This window comes from Homo sapiens, chromosome 11 (genome assembly GCF_000001405.40).
Source record: "Homo sapiens chromosome 11, GRCh38.p14 Primary Assembly".
Lineage (NCBI taxonomy): Eukaryota > Metazoa > Chordata > Mammalia > Primates > Hominidae > Homo > Homo sapiens.
In genome coordinates this window covers 67,923,507-67,943,956 of record NC_000011.10, presented here as the reverse complement: position 1 = coordinate 67,943,956, position 20,450 = coordinate 67,923,507, and the positions used below count along the sequence as shown (strand labels likewise).

General features: G+C 43.8%; 1 protein-coding gene, 1 long non-coding RNA gene and 2 pseudogenes across 2 annotated transcripts in view; 3 read left to right on the top strand and 1 right to left on the bottom strand.

Annotated features, from left to right (window-relative positions):
- Positions 1–20,450, top strand: part of LOC112268076 (translation initiation factor IF-2-like) — a 154,152-nt gene that overhangs the window by 22,204 nt on the left and 111,498 nt on the right. The gene's annotated exons all lie outside the window — the stretch shown is intronic.
- LOC124900601 (uncharacterized) lies at positions 4,183–11,979 on the top strand. The gene is made up of 3 exons (XR_002957254.2): positions 4,183–4,274; positions 6,966–7,182; positions 9,249–11,979. It is a non-coding gene; the product is annotated as an uncharacterized LOC124900601 (long non-coding RNA).
- LOC105369359 (40S ribosomal protein S24-like) lies at positions 8,031–8,606 on the bottom strand (annotated as a pseudogene).
- RPS3AP40 (RPS3A pseudogene 40) lies at positions 17,502–18,350 on the top strand (annotated as a pseudogene).

Genomic DNA, 20,450 nt, shown 5'->3' with positions numbered 1-20,450 from the left:
AGCTTGGGGTTGTGTTTATGCAAGGTTAGGCTCGCCAGGTAAAATGCAGGAAGTCCAATTAAACCTGAATTTCTCATTAACCATTTTTTTTTTTGGTGCAAATATATCCCATGCAATATTTGGGACCTGCTTACCCTAAAAAATGATATGTTGTTTATCTGAAATTCAAGTTTAACTGGCATCCTGTCTTTTCACTTGCTACATATGACAGTTCCATGTGGGGGTTATCAGTGTGCATTTGTGAGTTCCCATGTGAAGGACTCTCTCCAAGTGTCTGTAGGTGCCAGGATGGAGATGGACAGAGAAGATCCTCTCGGGCTGCTTTAGTGACACCTAGAGGCTGTGGGGTTGGACACTTCAGCCCAGGGGCCTAGGCAGCACTGCCTAGCACCTGTGTGCTCCTGTCTTCTTCACGGGGGCTGACTTCCCTGCCATCTCTCTCCAAATACGGTGGCAAGAGCTATCCCATCCGCCCCCATCTGGAGCTCGGCTGCCCAGCCAGACAAGATGGCAAACAGTGTGCAGATGGCTGCAAAGCTTTCCCCAGCTCCTTCTGCAAGGGGCCTGCAGATGAAATGGAAGCCCTCATCCTCACCGCCTCCCCCTTCCAGAAAACCCAGGCAACAGCCACCTCTGAATGCTGCTTTAGAAGCTTCTCCCTCCTGGTGATTAAACCACCCCAAACAAAGCACTGCATTTCCACCATAGGCTTGTTCACATGCGCGCAGCCAATTGTCTTGGATCCGCCTGTGTGCCTGATTCATCAGGGTGAGGGGTTCTCCTCTGAGGTGCTTGCAAAGAGCTGCTTGCAAAGAGCTGCTTAATTTTCATCTGAAAGACTCTCTGTAGAAACCAGGCCCAGCTTTGGAAGAAAGCCTTTTCTCCCCCTTTAGCAAATTCTGTGTCATTCTTTTTTTCTTTCTTTCTTTTTTGAGACGGAGTTTCACTTTTGCTGCCCAGGCTGGAGTGCAGTGGTGCAATCTCGGTTCACTGCAGTCTCTGCCTCCCAGGTTCAAGCGATTCTCCTGCCTCAGCCTCCTGAGTAGCTGGGACTACAGGTACCCACAACCATACCCGGCTAATTTTTTTGTATTTTTAGTAGAGAGGGAGTTTCACCATGTTGGCCAGGCTGGTCTCAAACTCCTGACCTCAGGTGATCCACCTCGGCCTCCCAAAGTGCTGGGATTACAGGTGTAAGCCACCATGCCTGGCTGGAATTCTGTGTCATTCTGGATACTTATCATGACTTCAAGCATCCAGGACTCTGTCCTGGGTATCCTGAGCCTGAGGGTGTATGTGTGTCCAGCTGGCTTGGAGGTTGTCTACAGGCAGGTTGAACTTGGCCTCTGAGTCCATGGCAGCCTCACATGGGAAATACCACCAAGGAGCTTCATCCTGTGCTTTTAGGAGATAGTTTCTATTTAGTCATTGCTGAATCTGTTACAGACAGTGTCTCAATTTCTTGCAACTCCTGTATGAGGTGGGTGCTGTGATTATCCACATGTTCACTTGTTCTCCCTGGCCTCTTTCAGGCTCTTGCACTTCCTTTGCTCTTTTCCTGCCACGGGGCCTTTGCACATCCTGCTCTTTCTGCCTGGAAAGATTTTCCCTCTCCTTACCTGTTCACCTGGTCATAGTCTCATCTGACAGTGGAGTCACTACATCCTCAGGGACGCCTGGCCACACTGACTCAGTCACAGCAACCCCCTCTTGTCTGCTTTCATGACACCAGGTGTCATGAGCTCAGCTACGGCTTCCTATTTCTGTGCATGTCATCCTTCCCCTTCAAGACTGTGGTCACCGTGAGGACCAGGGCCATGCCTGTTCCTGATTCTCATTTGTGTCTCTGGTGTTTAGTATATGCTTACCTAGAATTTGATTAATGAATGACGACATACCCATTTTACAGATGAGAAAGTTGAGGCTCAGGAACATTATGTAACTTGCTCAGTATTAGATGGTGATGGTTTGAAGCCATCTGGCTGGTCACTGGGTGCACACTCTTAACCACTTCACTATGGTTCTTCTCTCATGGTAGTTCTCCAACAGCAGGAGTGAGAGGCAACTTTAGGACAGGCGTAACCAGAATCCCAGGGGTTATCCTAGAAGGTGGTGTCAGGAACATGCTTGCCTATGGGCCTTCTTACTGTATTGCATAAAATACCCTGTTTTTCTGAGTCGCCTTTAGTAAAGACCTTAGCAATATTTGAAGCACAGTTGTCAGTAGGAAAGGGTGGGTGTTTATACTTTTTTAAAAAGGAGTCTATATCATATTTATCTTGTGGTCTGCCATGCCCCCTGATCTTCTTCAGCTTCAGTTATGCAAAATTCACACTTCTTCTCTTGACTGCCTCTCTCTTACCTGTTCAGTTTCTTTTCTGTGTTCGAGATTGCTTAGAATTTTTCCCATTACTACAGCCTGCTTCCCACCTGTATCCCCCAGCCAGCTTGTTCTGGATTTTGTCAACAAGAGTTTCAGCGTTTAGTGAGGGCTGGACTGAAGGAAAGCCTTGGAAAAGGCTGTGTGATGAAAGGTGAGATACCTAATGGGCAGGCAGTCATCAGGGTTAATTCAAAGGCTGGAAGAAGGGCTGACCTGGATGACTGGAAATGTCTTTGAGCTGAAGGTCATGTGCAGGTGGAACGAAGAGGGTGAGCCTTTTGGGGTGAACTGCAAGTATTTGATAAGATCCTTGTCCCCATGGTTGGGGAAGTCTTGATAAGCATCCTCAATGTGATGGAGGGATTAGGGAACCCATGGCTCTACCTGTCCAGCATGGCAGCAACATGACACAGCCAAGTTATTGATTATTGGTTGCCCAGCTGTCATCACTCAACATCTTCTGTTAGTTATAGCTGTAATTTGCATTAGTTGCCAATGCCAGTTTTGACTTTCCTAGTCAATAAAGTGTTCTGAGAGTGGTGACTAAGGCTGAGCACTACCCATAATCATGAGTATTACAGAGGCAAGCCCCCTTGCCCACCCACATGCAGGTGATGACACACCCTAGGAAATCACTCAATTCTTTAGAGGACCCTGAATAAATGCTCAAGTCCATCTGTTCATCTGTCCGTCCATCCATCCATCATTCCTTCCATCCATCCATCCATCCATCCATCCATCCATCCAGACATGCATACATCCATCCACCCACCTACCCACCTATCCACCCGCCCACCCACCCATCTATACATCCAATGCACTCTCTTATGCACCCAGCTATCATCCACCTACCCACCCACCAACCCATCTATCCATCCACTCATCCATGCATCTATCCACCCATTCACTCATCTACCCATCTATCCACCCACCCGTCCACCCATTTATCTATCCCTCCACCCCCTCAACCACTCATCCATTTCTCCACCCACTCAGCCATCCCTTCACCAACTCAACCACCCATTCATTCATCCACCTGCCCACCCACCTATCTTTCCATCCACCCATCTATCCACCCACCCACCTATGTATCCATCCACTGCTTGTCCTTCTGTTCATTTATTCCACAAAGACTCATTAACCACCTACTAGATTCTGGGGAGGTATCTGCTGTAGTAATTGAGAACATGGTTTCTGGAATCTGATTCCCTGAGCTCAAATTGAGCTGCCTCCTAGCTAGCTGCTTGGGTAAGTTATAGAAACTGTGCTTTGATTTTCTTATCTGAAAATTGGCTATTAATAGCTTCTACTCTTGCAGATATAGTGAGGGTTAAATAAGATGTCACGTTAAAAGTGCATCATCGACACTCAATAGAGATTAGGTTTTACCATTCATTATTATTCTTGGCAGATGCTGCAGATAACGTGGAGAGCATACGAAAGGCACATGTTTGAACCAATAGTGACATACAGGTGCTAAGTTCTGCAGTAGGGGAAGGGCAGAGAGCCATGAGGAGGGCCTGGCCCAATCCTGGAGCCTCAGAAAAAAGTTCCCCGTTGAATTGCTGTTTTAGCTGAGACTTGTGGGATGTGTAGTAGTTGGAGATCCCAGACAGGAGGTGACCGAGTTAGCCAGGGAAAAATTGGGTCCTGGCACCCATGGCAGAGTTAAATGATCCAGTCCTTCTGTCTCCTCTGGCTGGAAGTCCACCAGATCTGGGAATGTCCAGTTGGGGGAGGGGGCTGACAATGTTCATGACCTTCACCTGTCCTCACATGTCCTCTGTGTATCTGCAAAGCCTCTGCCTCAGTCTCCTCTTCTGGAAAGTGGGATTGGAAACCACATCTGCTTCTCTCCCAGGACTGCTAGGAAGACAAGATTAGATGGCAGGTGAGAGCTCTTTGAAAATGAAAACATTCTGCTATTTGAATGCAAAGTATTCTTCTTTGCCTGTGATGTTTCCTAATCTGTGAAATCATACTGGACCTCGAAGCTGTCTATTAAAAAAAAATATCAAAGTGGCTGGGCATGGTGGCTCATGACTGTAATCCTAGCACTTTGAGAGGCTGAGGGGGGTGGATCACTTGAGGCCAGGAGTTCGATACCAGCCTGGCCAATATGTGAAACCCCATCTCTACTAAAAATACAAAAATTAGCCAGGTGTGGTGGCATCTGCCTGTAGTCCCAGCTACTCAGGAGGCTGAGGCACAAGAATCATTTGAGCTCAGGAGGCAGAGGTTGCAGTGAGCCGAGATGGCACCACTGCACTCCAGCCTGGGCGACAGAGCGAGGCTCTGTCTGAAAACAGAAAAAAAAAAAAAAAAAAAAAAAAGCAAAGTTAACACTTCCTCCATCTCTCCCCTAGGGGAGGCAATTTGTCAAAGATTGTTGTTGGATTTTACACACAGGGAAATCTAAGGAAGGTTTGGAAACCAGACCATGACTCCAGACTCTCGTCTCCCTGTTTACAGGGTCTTAAATGGGGGAGCCACTTTGGGTTCTTTCCACAAGATTGCTTTGTAAAAAAAAAAAAAGAAACAAACAAACAAAAAACTCAAAAAAACAGCCCTAACCTAAATATTCACAAGGGACCTTAGGCAATATCTGCAAACAAAAGTGAGTGATGAGTGGAATCTGTTGTCTTTACAACTTAGACAGCTCCAGAGTTGAAGCAAGTGGAAATATCTCTAGAGACAGAGATTTGGGCAGGTTTTGCCAGTTACAAACTATGAGAACCTGGGCAGGTTTACCTCTCTGAGCTTCTGTGACCTTGTAAAATAGGCTGCATTGCGCTAAACGTGCAGGAGGAATCCCAGCATCCTCCTGTGCACAAGGCTGGTTTCTTCCCATCCTTTTCCTTGTTCTGCCTCTCTCCTCCTCTCCAAGAGATGAATACCTTTGGACCCAGTAGGGGCCTATGTTTGCAAAAGCTCGCAGGTGATTCTCATGCAGCCAGCCTGGCTGTGGCGCTGAGTTCTTGGACACTTCTGGAGGCACATTTACTAGTGAGGAAGGTCACTGTGTGTGAAAGGCACGATTCATCTTCCATTCCTTTCTTCCATGAAGCAAGGTGCATGGGTCAACTGAGCTGGGAGAGTCCACAGTGTCAGCCTCCCCCACACTTCCCTCCCTCCTTAATCCTTGTGTGCTGTACTTTGTCTTGATTTCCTGTACTCTGCACCAAGCCAGGAGATGGTAAGATCTCGAAAAAATCATTTTTTTGGGAAATGGGACCAAGAGGGTTTTGATTTGCTTGTTTGTTTGTTTGAGACAGGGTCTGTCGCCCAGACTGGAGTGCAGTGGCATGATCTTGGCTCACTGCAGCCTTGACCTTCTGGGCTCAGGTGATCCTCCCACCTCAGCCTCCTGAGTAGCTGGGACTGCAGGTGCACACCACCGTGCCTGACTAATTTGTCTATTTTTTGTAGAGATGAGGATTCACCATGTTGCCTAGGCTGGTCTCAAACTCCTGGGCTCAAGCAGTCCTCCATCCACCTCGGCCTCCCAAAATGCCGGAATTACAGGCATGAGCTGCTGTGCCTGGCCAAGGTTTTTTTTTTTGTTATTATTATGAAAAATTTTCAATATACATAAAAGTAGAGAGACTAGTTTAATGAGCTATCATATGCCCATCACATAGGTTTAAAAACTATTAACGTTTGCAATATTTACTCCATTTGTTTTTCTGAAGTATTTAAAAAATAGTTTACAGTAGTTATGTAATTGCATCCTGATATTCACCCCTACGTAATTTACTTTCCCTCTAAAAACATGAGGGCATTTTTTATATGATCATTATCATTCCTAATCAAATTACCAGTAATTCCTTAATATCCTCTAAGATCAAGTTTACATTCAGATGTCTTCTCCTCAAAATGTCAATTGTGATTATTTTTTTCTTTGAGCAAAGATAATAAGATCTCAAGATTTAATGACAGAGATTCCATGTTAGCCCTGATGTCTAAGCTCTGTGGTCCATTGTGGCTTTACTTGAAAGTCTCAGGCTAGGCGTGGTGGCTCACACCTGTAATCCCAGCACTTTGGGAAACCAAGGTAGGTGGATCATGAGGTCAAGAGATCAAGACCATCCTGACAAACATGGTGAAACCCTGTCTCTATTAAAAATACAAAAATTAGCCAAGCATGGTGGTGGGTGCCTATAGTCGCAGCTACTCAGGAGGCTGAGGCAGGAGAATCACTTGAACCTGGGAGGTGGAGGTTGCAGTGAGCTGAGGTTGCACCACTGCACTGTACTCCAGCCTGGGTGACAGAGCGTAACTCTGTCTCAAAAAAAAAAAAAAGTGTATGTGAGGAAACTGGGATAGAGCTTGGGGATATTGGGGGATGGAGATACTTCATCTACTGAACAAAAACCATGGGATACCAATGCTGGAGGAAGAAGCATCATCCTCAGTTTCTACTAATTCAACCACACATGAGATGGGGACTTGGTGTCCAAGAGAAGAGCCTCTTTTTAGGTCTTCGGCCTTGATCAAACCATTTCTGAATTCCTCATACATATATAATCAGGTGTTATGAGTGGTACTGATTGGATAATCTTTCTGTCGTTTCCTGTGCTAGGAAGGAAAATACATGTACAGCCAACTTCCTTGAGGATTCGTTCTTTTGCATCAGGGTGTCTCAAACTCCTGCCCTTAAAACACCTGCAAGAGAATCATCCAGGTGGCTTGCTCACTCTGCATGCAGACCCTTTAGAATCAGAGTCAGAATCCCTGGGGCTGGAGCCACAAAATGAAATGACATTTCAACAAGTTTGTCATCACGTAAGAGAGAATAGGTGAGTATTTGGATACCTATAATACAAAGTAGATTCAAAAAGAATGACGATTATTTTAAATGTTGCGTTTTTAAAAATTTAATACAGAAAAGGCTGGGCACGGTGGCTCATGCCTGTAATCCTAGCACTTTGGGAGGCCAAGGCGGGTGGATCATTTGAGGTCAGGAGTTCAAGACCAGCCTGGCCAACAAGGTGAAACCCCACCTCTACTAAAAATATAAAAATTAGCCAGGCGGTAGTGGTGCACGCCCGTAATGCCAGCTACAGGGGAAGCTGAGGCAGGAGAATCGCTTAAGCCTGGGAGGCAGAGGTTTGGTGAGCTGAGATCGTACCACTGCACTGCAGTGTGGGTGACAATTGTTTAACCACCACCAAAATGGGTTCTGAGCCCAAATATTAATATGAAGGACATTGGTGACATTGTCTCAAAAAAATTAATGAATACAGAAAAGTACAAAAAGGGAGAGAAATCACCCCAAATCTCATGACCCCAAGAAATAAACCACCTAATATTAAGTGAACAGCATTCCTTGCTATGCACAAAGATGGCTAGAGACATGAACAGACACTTCTGATCACACAAAATGAGATTTTAAAAACAAGAAATAGCAAATTGAATGCTGTGTAAATTTATCAGAAGAAAAAGAAATAGAAGTGAAACTGAAGGAACTGGTCAACTCAGATAAATGTAGTTTTTCCTCACTAAAAATCAGTTTCTAGAACATCTAAGAAATCAAGATGATGAAAAATATTAAGATGTTTTATATATATGTAGAAGTCTTTACAGTTGACTGATCATCTCAGGAAAAATTTGTACAGTCACTGCATATAAAGTCATTACAAAATCTTTACTCCTTTTGCTTTTTGCCAGCACTGACATTGGCCTTTGCAGTCTCTGGACTTCATTCTGCACTTGCATTCCTTTTGCTGTTTTCTTGAGGTCATCTTCTTCTCATGCCATCTGTGTCTTGCAAGTCTATGTTTGAGTTCATTTTTCTTTGCATAATTCAAAGAAACAGATAGCATGCCAAAGCTCATTGTTTAACCACCACCAACATGGGTTCTGAGTCCAACGATTAATATGAAGATGACACCTATTGTGGTCTTGTACATTTTGTTGCCTTTCCGGGGTGAAGGACATTGGTGACCATGTGTTTCCCCTGGAGTGGTCGATTGGTCATGAACTTCCTGGTCCAGATAGTTACTGTGTCGTTCATCATGGTGGTTGATCCTCAGGTAGTTAGGGAGGAAAATAAACAAGAAGTTATATATTTAAAACCACATTTCAATTTTAGACCTGATTAATTGACTTAATAAAGGGCATCAGCACTTCTACTTCCTACAGTCCCTCCCTTTACCTCTGGAAACTAGTTATTTCTAGGTTGTTTTATGTTGTTAAGGTTGACCACCTTCTCTTTCTGTTCTGCAATAATAGTCCTATTTTTAAATGGATTCACCTCTCATAATTAGCCTTTTGTCATGGTCATTCAATTCACGAGTTGCTTATTTTTTAATTTCTTGGCTGACTAAATTTTATTATGAAGACTTTTTTTAAAAGAGCTCAGAAATACTGTGTTCTTTAAGTTCTTCAACATGTGATCATGTCTTTTGCCTATTTTGATTGGGCAATAATTTAGCTGGCTATAAAATTCTTGGATTATATTCTATTTCCCTTAGAAATTATAGGCACCCATCCACTGACATTTCATTGTGCTTTCTTTTTTTTTTTTTTTTTTTGAGATGGAGTCTTGCACTGTCACCCAGGCTTGAGTGCAGTGGTGCGATCTCGGCTCACTGCAAGCTCTGCCTCACGGGTTCACACCATTCTCCTTCCTCAGCCTCTTGAGTAGCTGGGACTACAGGTGCCCGCCTCTATGCCTAGCTAACATTTTTGTATTTTTTGTAGGGACGGGGTTTCACCGTGTTAGCCAGGATGGTCTCGACCTCCTGACCTCATGATCCATTGGGCTTGGCCTCCCAAAGTGCTGGGATTACAGGTGTGAGCCACTGTATGAGCCCAGCCTCATTGTGCTTTGTACTAACCCCCTTTCCCTGGTCTCTTCCAGCTTGTCTTCTTCTCTCCCAGTAGATTCTTCATGAAGAGGCCATGTGCTATATTCCATGAGATATTTCACACTCAAAGAAGACTTCTTTTATACTCTTTTGATAATTTGTCTGGGAATCACTGTCTTGATTTATAAGGGAGTTTGTAATAAATACAGTAAAAGAGAAACACACAACGTATTTTGAGACATCAGAGAAGGGAGACACCAATTCTATTAATATTTGGGGTTAGCAGGGAAGGCTTAGTTAAGAGGTAACATTTGAACTAAGCCTTGAAATAAGGGAAGGATTTGGCCATGCAGTAATGGGGAGAGAGTAGAAGCAAGACCTGATAGTTAGTGTTATGTATCAATTTGACTGGGCTGTGGGGTGCCCAAATATTTGGCTACACATTATTCTGGGTGTGTCTCTGAGGTATTCTGGATGAGGATAACATTTAATTGGTAGACTGAATAAAGCAGATTGTCCTCCCCAATGTGGGTGAGCCTCATCCAATCCACTGAAGGCCTGAACAAAACAAAAAGGTAAAGTCACAGAGAATTTGCTCTTTTTACCTGATTATATTTGAGCTGGGACATCAATCTTCTCCTGACTTTAGATGTGGACTCGAGTTGGAACTATATCATTGGCTGTCCTGGGTCCCCAGCTTGCTGGCTGCAGACTCCAGGACTCCTTATCCTCCATAACCATGTGAGCCATCCCTTACAACTAATCAATCTGTCTCTCTCTATGTGTATAGCTCTACCTCTATCTCTCTGCTCTTTCTCTGGAGAACCTAGAGTAATACACAAGGTTATATTAGAGAAGAGGATGACCCAAGGGAAAGCATGGAGACAGAAAAGTGCAAAGAGCATTTGGGAAGACTGGGGTCCTGATGGGGAGCTTGAATTTCACTGTGTGTAGCATGGAGAATTATTGAAAATATTCAAGAGGTGAAAATTGTATTCATGGAAGAACACCAGGAGTATGTGAAAAGAAAAACACTCACTCCATTTTAACTCCACTGAAGGGGGCATCAAAGGAATGCACTGGGGACATGGGTTGGAGGGTAGTTGAGGCCATATCTGGAGGAACTTTACTTCTAGGCTGAGTCTGAAGTTATCTTTCTGGGGAGTGGGAGATTACAAATCTTTGAGCTCCACTCAAGAGATGGTTTTGCTAACAATGGCAGGGCGACGGTGGTGGTGGTGGTGGTGGTGGTGGTGGTGGTGGTGGTGGTGGTGGGAAACTGGTATCATGAATTCTAATTGGGCTTCTGTTATCCTAGCCGAGAAAGTTGGGGAACGGACTTTCAGTAGAATAATAGAGATCTGGGAATCAACTGCATGGAGGAGGTAGTTATAGGTGATGAGATGGCTCAGGGACAAAGTTTGGTAGAAGGAGAAAATTTACTAGGCTGGTACAAAAATAATTGCTATTTTTGCCATTACTTTTAATGGCAAAATCCGCAATTACTTTTGCACCAACCTAATAGGGTGCAAACTTCGGAGCCATCTGCATCAGAGGGATTGATGAAGATCAACAAAGTTTGGGAACACAGGAAAGGAGCGGGGAAGGTAATGACTTGAGGGCATAGCAGGGATAATCAAGGTTTTTCTTGTTAGCATGTAGAGACTTAAGCATGATTCTATGTTAAACGCCTGGCACATACATGGTGCAAAATATTTATGAGTGAAATGACAAGTGAAGGTGGTGAGTCATGGGAGTTCCAAGGGAACGGGTGATAAAGGGAGGTCTCAAATGAGGCACAAGTGGAGAAGGTAGCTTGGGAAAGGAGAAGGATGCTTCTCCTTATAACATGGGAAAGGCAGAGGAAGAGGGTCAAGGTACAGTGATCTAGGGGTGAGATGGAAGTGAGTTGAGAGAACTCAACTCTGGGCTCTGAAATCCCTAGGGATGGGTTTGGGGGGCTTTGAGATATGTAAGAGGTTTAAAGTCAGTTGTTCTAGCAAATATGGTTTGGAATTTATTTGTGATGCTTAAAAATATTGCTGAACAGAAGTGAAGTCTATCCTAGAGTTGGATGGTGAGATTATTTAGTGGAACTACCAGATCCATGTTGTGATTCTTTCCAGTATCATTCAGCAGCCCTTGGGCAGTTGCGAGGCAAGTCATCAATGGGGTATGGAGATTTTCCAGGTGGGTGTGGTTGAAGGCAGGGAAGAACGAGTTCAGGAGCACATTACAAGAAGAAGGTGACTGTAAGGTCCAGGCTGAGCAGGAAGGTAAAGCAAGAAGGAAACATGAGGTTGTGAAGAGAAGTTTAGAGGGATGAGGAGGCAGGAGAGATGAACAGTTGCAGGATGTAGCTAGAGTGGCGATGTTAGATCTTGGGGCCAGAGAACTTTACAATGATTATGAAGATCAAAGGGCATTAGAATCAAGCTATAAAGAGCCACTGTTTGATGTTGGGATGTGAGGATGCTGCAGGTGGATGTCTGCACGTTGATGGTGAGAACATGGTCACCCTGGCCCTGCTGGGTCTTTGCTAAAGAGACTGTGCTCTGTTCTTGGGGCCGTTTTCATCACCTGATTAGAGCAGTGGTCCCCACATGGTGTTCTTTGGACCATCTGTATAAAATGTTCATAGGTCAAGGATAAAATGGAAAAACAGAGAAAATGTCACAGAAATGTGCCCATTGGTGAAAGACCACCAGCTGTCCTTTTTGGAGGATTGTTCTTTATTCCAAAAATGTATATATTCTATTCTATTAAAACATTTTTGTATTTGCATTTTTTTCTCTTTTATGAAATGCCATGGGGTAGAAATTTGTAATGTATCAAATTCTCCTGTCTTCATGCATTGCCCTGTGGTGGGGAAGGGGATGTTGCTAGTACTGGCCAAGAGGCTGGGGGCAGAGGTGCAGTGTGAGACTTCTAGCCTGGAGCATTTAATTCTTAGTACAAGGCTCTCTAGCATTCTTGTCCCGCTGTTCCCTGCTTGGTGATACTCGAGGTAATGCAGCCCCCATTAGCCTTAGTCTTAGGGCAAGTTTGATGGAAAACAGAGCACCCCACACCTCCCTGCAGATGTAGCATGAGTGAGAAAAACAACTACTGATGTTTGAAGTTACCAAGATTTAGGAGTTGTTTGTTATTGCAGCAAAACCTCACCTATTCTGACCAATCATGGTGGAATTTCTGTGTGTATGTGTGTGTGTGTGTGTGTGTGTGTGTGTGTGTGTGTGTGTGAAACTGGTAGTTTAAAAAAGTTCCTTCTTACCAAAAAGAAAATAAAGTAGCAACCTTATGTTGGTTCTCAAATTAATAAAATATTTTTACTGGTTTATAAAATAGAAAAATCTGAGAATCTGTAGCTTACAGAACTACAGTGTGGGATGTCTATAAAGACCAGGTTATTTTATCAGCTCCTAACACCCCTTAATAGAAGCTTAGCCAAGACTTGGACTATTTCAGTCTTTCCCATTCCACATTCCATGGACTCTTGAAGAGACATTGATGAAACGGTGCAGCCATGAATCACCCTCACTCAATCCTAGTGGCAGAATCCCCCTTTTACTGCAGAATGAGCTTCTTGCTACAGTGATACTTGAACCCCTTAGATATATCCTGTACTAATTATATTAAAACATGACCAATGCTTTTGCTTTGTTGTCCCCCAAATTAAACACCTTAACCATGAGAACCCAGAGAATTGGATTTAGTGTGACTGATTCCAAACTGTCAGTAAGAACACAATTAGGTTATATTTTTATCCAGTTCAAATAAAAGAAAATTGACAATAAAATGCTGATCAATATGTGTAGCTCAGGAGGTAGAGCCTGCTTTGAGATGCAGAAGTGTTTGTTTTTTTTAGATCTATATTCTTGAGTAAAGAAAAAATCCATCTCTTTTCCTAGAGGGGAAGACTTTCAGAGCTGGGCTTGGCAACAGCCTATCACAGGCTGAATTAAACAAATAGGTACCTCCCTTGAGTGAATGGTGCGTTTCTCCTGTTCGGGGAACCGTGCTTTTATGGTGGAGTTTGCTTTCTGTCTTGGTCTCCGGATGTGTGTATCTGTGGGTGGATGTCTGCATGTAAATGGCAGTGTATAGCTGTGTGGGTGTATACAAAATTCCCATGTGAATCTCAGCTTTGTGGGGATCTCCGGGTCTTGAGCCCAGCAGATGCCAGTTGAAGAAAAATCACTTGAAAATGAGACAGAAAGAATGGAAACTAAATCCTAGCTCTAAAGGCACCAGGCTGATTAAAAACAAAACTCTGAATCTTCTTTGTTTTGGACTCTACCTACCTCCAAATGACATTTCTGTTTCCTATGAAATGATTAGAATGACAGAAATCCTGAGCACGAAAGAGCAGATACTGTGTGATTGTGTGTATGTCAGGGTGTCAGCTGTGACGCTGCTGACATTTCGGCTCAGCAATTTCTCTGTTGTATGTGTGGGGGTTCCCTATGCATTTTAGGATGTTGAGCGACATCCCTGGATCCCTGGACTCACTGGATGCAGTAACACAACTCCCCCCAAGTAGAGACAACCCCCAGTGTCTCCAGATATTGCCTAATGTCCCCAGGAGGCAAAATAGCCCCATCTGAGAACTGCTGCTTTCATAAAGTACAATGTCAGGTGAAATAGGTGGAGGCTGTTTGTAGTCAGGGGTTAGTAGAGATGGAAGAGACCCCAGGAATATCCTGGAAGGGGCTGTAATGTTCTGTTTCTTGAATTGGGTGTCGGTAATATGGAGATGTTCAGTTTTTTGTTTTTTTTTTTTTGGCAGGATCTTACTCTGTCACCCAGGCTGGAGCACAGTGGCACCGTCATGGCTCACAGCAGCCTCTGCCTACTGGGCTCAAGCAGCCCTCCCACCTCAGCCCTCCTGAGTAGCTGGAACTACAGGCATGTGCCATCACTGTTGCCTAATTTTTGTATTTATTTATTTTTTGTAGAGTGGGGGGTCTCACTATGTTGCCCAGGCTGGTCTCGAGCTCCTGGGCTCAAGCAATCTGCTCACCTCGGCCTCCCAAAGTGCTGGGATGGCAGGCATGAGCCACTGAGCCTGGCCAGTATGTTCAGTTTGTAAGAAAAGTAGTGTTGACCTCTTCTACGTGCACATTTCTTTAAGTAATAATTCAATAAAGCATTTAGAAAAATTGGTCATAATAGGAGTGATTTGTAGAGTGATTGGCATGAAAGCTGATCACCTTAATTTGAACTACTCTGAAATGAGCACCAGGGGCCACCAAGAGGAACCTTTCAAGGTGTTATAGCCAAGGATAGGAGTGTGTTGTGTACATCTCTGCATAAAGGATTTGCTGGTTACATGGAAGGATGAAGCCTCCTTCTGAGGACACAGGCAGCAAGGCAAGTGGAAGCCCAAAGCATTGAGCTTTCTAAATGGACTTTGCTAAAATCTTGTGGATGACTCATGCTCTTAACATACACCCATGTACATATTGTCCATATAAACATTAATTCTGTAACAAGGCCCACATATAAGGGTATTTTTTTCTTTTGAGACAGTCTTGCTTTATTGCCCAGGCTAGAGTACAGTGCCATAATCGTGACTTACTGCAAACTCCACCTCCTGGGTTCAAGCAATGCTGTGCCTCAGCCCCGTGAGTAGCTGGGACTACAGGTGCACACCACCATGCCTGGCTAATTTTTGTATTTTTAGTAGAGACAAGGTTTCACCATGTTGGCCAGGCTGGTATCAAACTCCTGGCCTCTAGTGATCTGCCCACCTCAGCCTCCTAAAGTGTTGGGATTACAGGTGTGAGCCACTGTGTCTGGGCCCACACGTAAGGTTTGAGTTGAGATAGAGAAACTCTGGCAGGACTGAGGAATTTGGCCAGTCTCTGGGAAATATGCACAATTTCTGGAATCTTCTCTACTTCCAGAGTTCCCACTTTCTATCTGTCTCCTATTTATTCAAAAAACTTGTATGGAACCGCAGTGGGTCTAGAACTTGCCAGGTGTGGAGGATAAAAGATGACTGAGGTCGAGCATGGTGGCTCATGCCTGTAATCCCAGCACTTTGGGAGGCCAAGGCAGGTGGATCACTTGAGGTCAGGAGTTAGAGCACAGCCTGGCCAACATGATGAAACGTCTCTACTAAAAATACAAAAATTAGCCAGGCATGGTGGCACGCACATGTAGCCCCAGCTACTTGGGAAGCTGAGGCAGGGGAATCGCTTGAACCCAGGAGGCAGATGTTGCAGAGAGCTGAGATCACCCCGCTGCATTCCAGCCTGGGAGACAGAGCGAGATTCCATGTCAAAAAAAAGATGACTGAGATACAGACTCCATCAGAGTTGACTCTAACACAAATTTGGTAAGAGCCCAAGGTCTGGCTGGGCAAGCACCTTGATCGGCTTCATCCTGCAGCCTCTACTAGAATGAACAGCACTTTTTTCTTTACTCATGAAAATGTTTTGTGCTTCGTACCTACAAGTACAGTTTGTGTAAATTCTGCAAAATTTGCCGCATAACTCTTCCTGTATTAGCATTTTTCCTTTGAGAGATTTCTCAAAACATCATCTTTGGACTATGAGGAATTGGAAATTTACTTAGAGTCAAAAGCAAGTACAGGAAAGTCAGTTCTTAGTCAAGAGTTAGGTTTTCAAAGACAGTGGATAAAATAAAAAATCTAGTACAGTCAAGATTATACGTGCAAATCCCCTCATCATTCATAAAGTTTAGCAGTCAGTCTTACCGTGGCTCACCAGGTCCAATCCATACTTCTTCCTCCACGATTGGAGCAGAGGGTGATTTTTTTTATGAGCAACTGATGAAGTCATTTAGAGACCATTTGCAGTAGGAGCCATGTGTACTAGAGACCAATCAATGTGCCCTCATGGCACCATTTCTTCCTCTCTCCCTCTTTGTTCTTGCCAAGTACCCATAGTTCATTTTCCATAGATTAAAAGAGCCCATGTTGGGCTCTATGTAGAATTGTTTGGGAAGTTGTTAAACTGTTTCTCACAGTGGCTAAAGCATTCTAATTCCTACCAGCAGTGTATGAAAGTTCCAGTTTCTCTGCATCCTCACCAACACTTGTTATTTTCTGTATTTTTTTTTTTTGAGACAAAGTCTTGTTCTGTCACCCAGGCAGGAGTGCAGTGGCACAATCTCAGCTCACTGCAACCTCTGCCTCCCAGATTCAAGTTACTCTCCTGCCTCAGCCTCCAGAGTAGCTGGTATTATAGTCACCTGCCACATGCTTGGCTAATTTTTGTATTTTTTAGTAGAGACAGGGTTCCACCATGTTGGCCAGGCTGGTCTCAAACTCCTGGCCTCAGGTGATCCACCTGCCTCGGTCTCCCAAAGTGCTGGGATTACAGGCATTAGCCACCACACCAGGCCAATTTTCTGTATCTTCAATTCTAGCCATCCTTATGGCTATGAAGTGGTATCACATTGTGGTTTTGATTTCTGTTTCCCTGATGATGAATTTCATTGAGCATCTTTTCATGTGCTTATTGGCCACTTGTATGTCTTCCTTGGAGATGTGCCATATTTTCATATTCAAAAATGAAAGCACAGGTCCACACAAAAATTTGTGCATGAATAATTACAATAGCATCACTCCTAATAACCCACAGAGGGAATTAATCCAAATGCCCATCACCAGATGAAGAGATACACCGGTTGTTGTCTACCCACATGGTGGAATATTATTTGATCACAAAAGGAAGGAAAGTACATACGCTACAGCGTGGATGAACCTTCAAAACAGATGAAAGATCACATTCTACATGATTTCATTCAGATGGAAATCTATAGAAATAGGAAGTCGATTAGTGGTTGCTTAGGGCTGCTAGGGGCATGAGAGGATAGGGGGTGTTAGCTAAAGGGTATGAGGTTTCTTTTTGAGGTCATGAAATGTTCTAAAATTGACTGGTAATGTTTGCGTATATCTCTGAATATATTAAAAACCATTGAAATGTAAAAAATGCGAAGAAAAAACAGCCCAAGTTGCAATTTTATTCAACACTTGATTGGCTTTAAAAATAGATTCCAGGCTGGGCACGGTGGCTCACACCTGAAATCCCAGTGCTTTGGGAGGCTGCGGTGGGAGGATTGCTTGAGGCCAGGAGTTCCAGGCCAGCCTTGGCAACATGGCAAGACCCTGTCTCTACAAAAAAATAAAAAATAAATATCAGCTGGGTGCAGTGGCTCACACCTGTAATCCCAGCACTTTGGGAGGCTGAGGCGGGCAGATCACCTGATATCAGTTCAAGACCAGCTTGGCCAACATGGTGAAACCCCTTCTCTACCAAAAATATAAAATTTAGCCTTTTGGTACTCTGAGCAGCACCATGGCGGTTGTTAAGAACAAGTGCCTTATGAAAGGTGGCAAAAAGGGAGTTAAGAAGAAAGTAATTGGTCCATTCTCTAAGAAAGATCAGTATGATGTGAAAGCACCTGCTATGTTCAATATAAGAAATATTGGAAAGACTTGGTCACCAGGACCCAAGGAACCCAAATTGCATCTGATGGTCTCAAGGGTCTTGTGTTTGAAATGAGTCTTGCAGATTTGCAGAATGATGAAGTTGCATTTAGAAAATTCAAGCTGATTACTGAAGATGTTCAGGGCAAAAATTGCCTGACTAACTTCTATGGCATGGGTCTTACCTGTGACAAAATATGTTCCAAGGTTGAAAAATGTTCAACAATGATCGAAGCTCATGTTGATGTCAAGACTACCGATGGTTACTTCTTTCTTATGTTTTGTGTTGGTTTTACTAAAAAACACAACAATCTGATACTGAAGACCTCTTATGCTTAGCACCAACAGTCTGCCAAATCCAGAAGAAGATGATGGAAATCATGACCTGAGAGGTGCAGACAAATGACTTGAAAGAAGTGGTTAATAAATTGATTCCAGACAACATTGGAAAAGATGTAGAAAAGGCTTGCCAATTTATCCTCTCCATGATGTCTTCATTAGAAAAATAAAAATGCTGGAGAACCCTGGGTTTGAAAGGCATGGAGCTTCGTGGTGATGGTAGTAGTTCTGGAAAACCCACTAGGGACGAGACACATGCTAAAGTTGAATGAGCTGATGGATATGAACCACCAGTCCAAGAATCTGTTTAAAGTTCAGGCTTAAAACAGTAGCAAATAAGAAGTCCTATTTGTGAAAAACAATCAAGAAACAACAATGAAAGAGCAAAATTAGCCTGGTGTGGTGGTGCATGCCTGTAATCCTAGCTACTCCGGAGGCTGAGGCATGAGAATTACTTGAACCCGAGAACAGATGTTGCAGTGAGCCAAGATTACACCATTGCACTCCAGCCTGGGCAACAGAGTGAGACTCTCTCCAAAAAGAAGGAAAAAAAAAGTATCTGGGCTGGTGGCATGCGCCTTTAGTCTCAGCTACTCTGAAGGCTGAGATGGGAGGATGGCTTGAGGCCAGGAGTAATTTGAGGCTGCAGTGAGCTATGATTGTGACACTGCACTCTAGCCTGGACTACAGAGCAAGACCCTGTCTCTTATACATACATACATGCATACATACATACATACATGCATACATACATACACACACACGCGCACATACATACATACCCAGGCTCTACCTCCGGTGATTCTGACTCAGTAGGGTGGAGTATCCCCTAGGGATCCTGCTATTCAGCCTGGTCTGGGATCCACTTTTCACTGGGAACTGAGACACTGGCTGTGAGCCTTTCTGTCCTGTGATGTAGAGGTCATGGCGATGCAGGTTCAAGCTTAAGAAGACCTGACTGTGCATTAGGTATTGTGCTGAACATCATCTCTTACTCTCACAGCAACATCCTTAGAAGGTTAATGATGTGTCCCCGCTCTACAGATGAGGAACTGAGCTTTCAGAGGAGTTTAGCTTGTTCAAAACTTATTCTTCGTATTGGAAACTTTGTACCCTTTGAGCAGTGTCTCCTATCCCCTACCTTTCCTCCACCCCAGCCCCTGATAACCACTGTCCTACTCTCTATTTCTGTGAGTTCAACTTCTTTAGATTCCACATATAATAAAATCATGCAGTATCTGTCTTTCTGTGCCTGGCTTATTTCACTTAACACAATGTCTTTCAAGTTCATCTATGTTGTTGAAAATGACAGGATTTCTTTCTTTTTTAAGAGTTAATAGTATTCCGTTGTGTGTATATAGTACATTTTCTTTATCCTTTCATCCACTGATGGACACTTAGGTTGATTCTATATCTTGGGTATTGTGAATAGTGCTGCAGTGAACATAGGAATGTAGGGATCCCTTCGACATATTGATTTCGATTTTTTTTTGTCTATACCCAGAAGTTGGGTTGCTGGATTATGTGTTTTGAAATCTATAGCACAGCAGCGTGACTATAGTCAATAATAATGTATCTTTCAAAATAACTAAGAGACTACATTTCAAATGTCTCATCATAAAAATTGTCAGTAAATTAGTGGATGGACATGTTAATTAGTTTGATCTAATCATCCCACATTGTATACACATATCAAAACATCACATAAATGTGTACAATTATGATTTGTCAATTAAAATAACGTTAGTTAAAAAAATAAGTAACTTGTTCAAAGCCCCAGTTGGGATTGATGGAGCCGGGACATGCACCAAGGCTTTTGCTCTCAGGCACACAGAGTCCTTGGGCCACGAATGTTGAAGCCCTACCTGAGATTTCTACTGAGATCAGTGTAGGGATTCAATGTCTCAGAATCATCCCATCCTCCAGGGCCCACAAGTCCATGACCTTTGCCTCTACCCCCGACCCTGCTGACCTGAAATGTGGCCCCTGCTTTCATTTCCGGGAGCATACAACACTTACACCAAGCATTGATGGGTTTTATTGACTTCATTTGAGACGTGGAGCCATGGAGAGGGTCCCATGATCCTTGCTTGGTGTTGGCCAATTCACTGAATTCTCTCTTTGACTTCACCCTTCCCTTTTCTACTCACCTCCTCTGTCATGGATTGCTCGGGGAATTCTGAGCCCTAGTTCCTTTGTTTTGCAGATAACCTTCACTCGTCTCTGCAACGAATCCCAAAAGTATGTAGTTGAGGTGACTGCAAGGTGCTTGACACGCAAGAGACTCCACAAATGGGATTCGGCCTCTGGAAAGTGGTGGTACTTCCAGATTTATGTGGATGTTACTTTGTTTTTCCCTATAAAATATATTCTTTAAACTATCAAGCTCTTGGCTCCTGGCTGCAGTCCTTTGCTGGTGGCAGTGGGCTGGGTACTGTCACCGGGGAGAAATGCT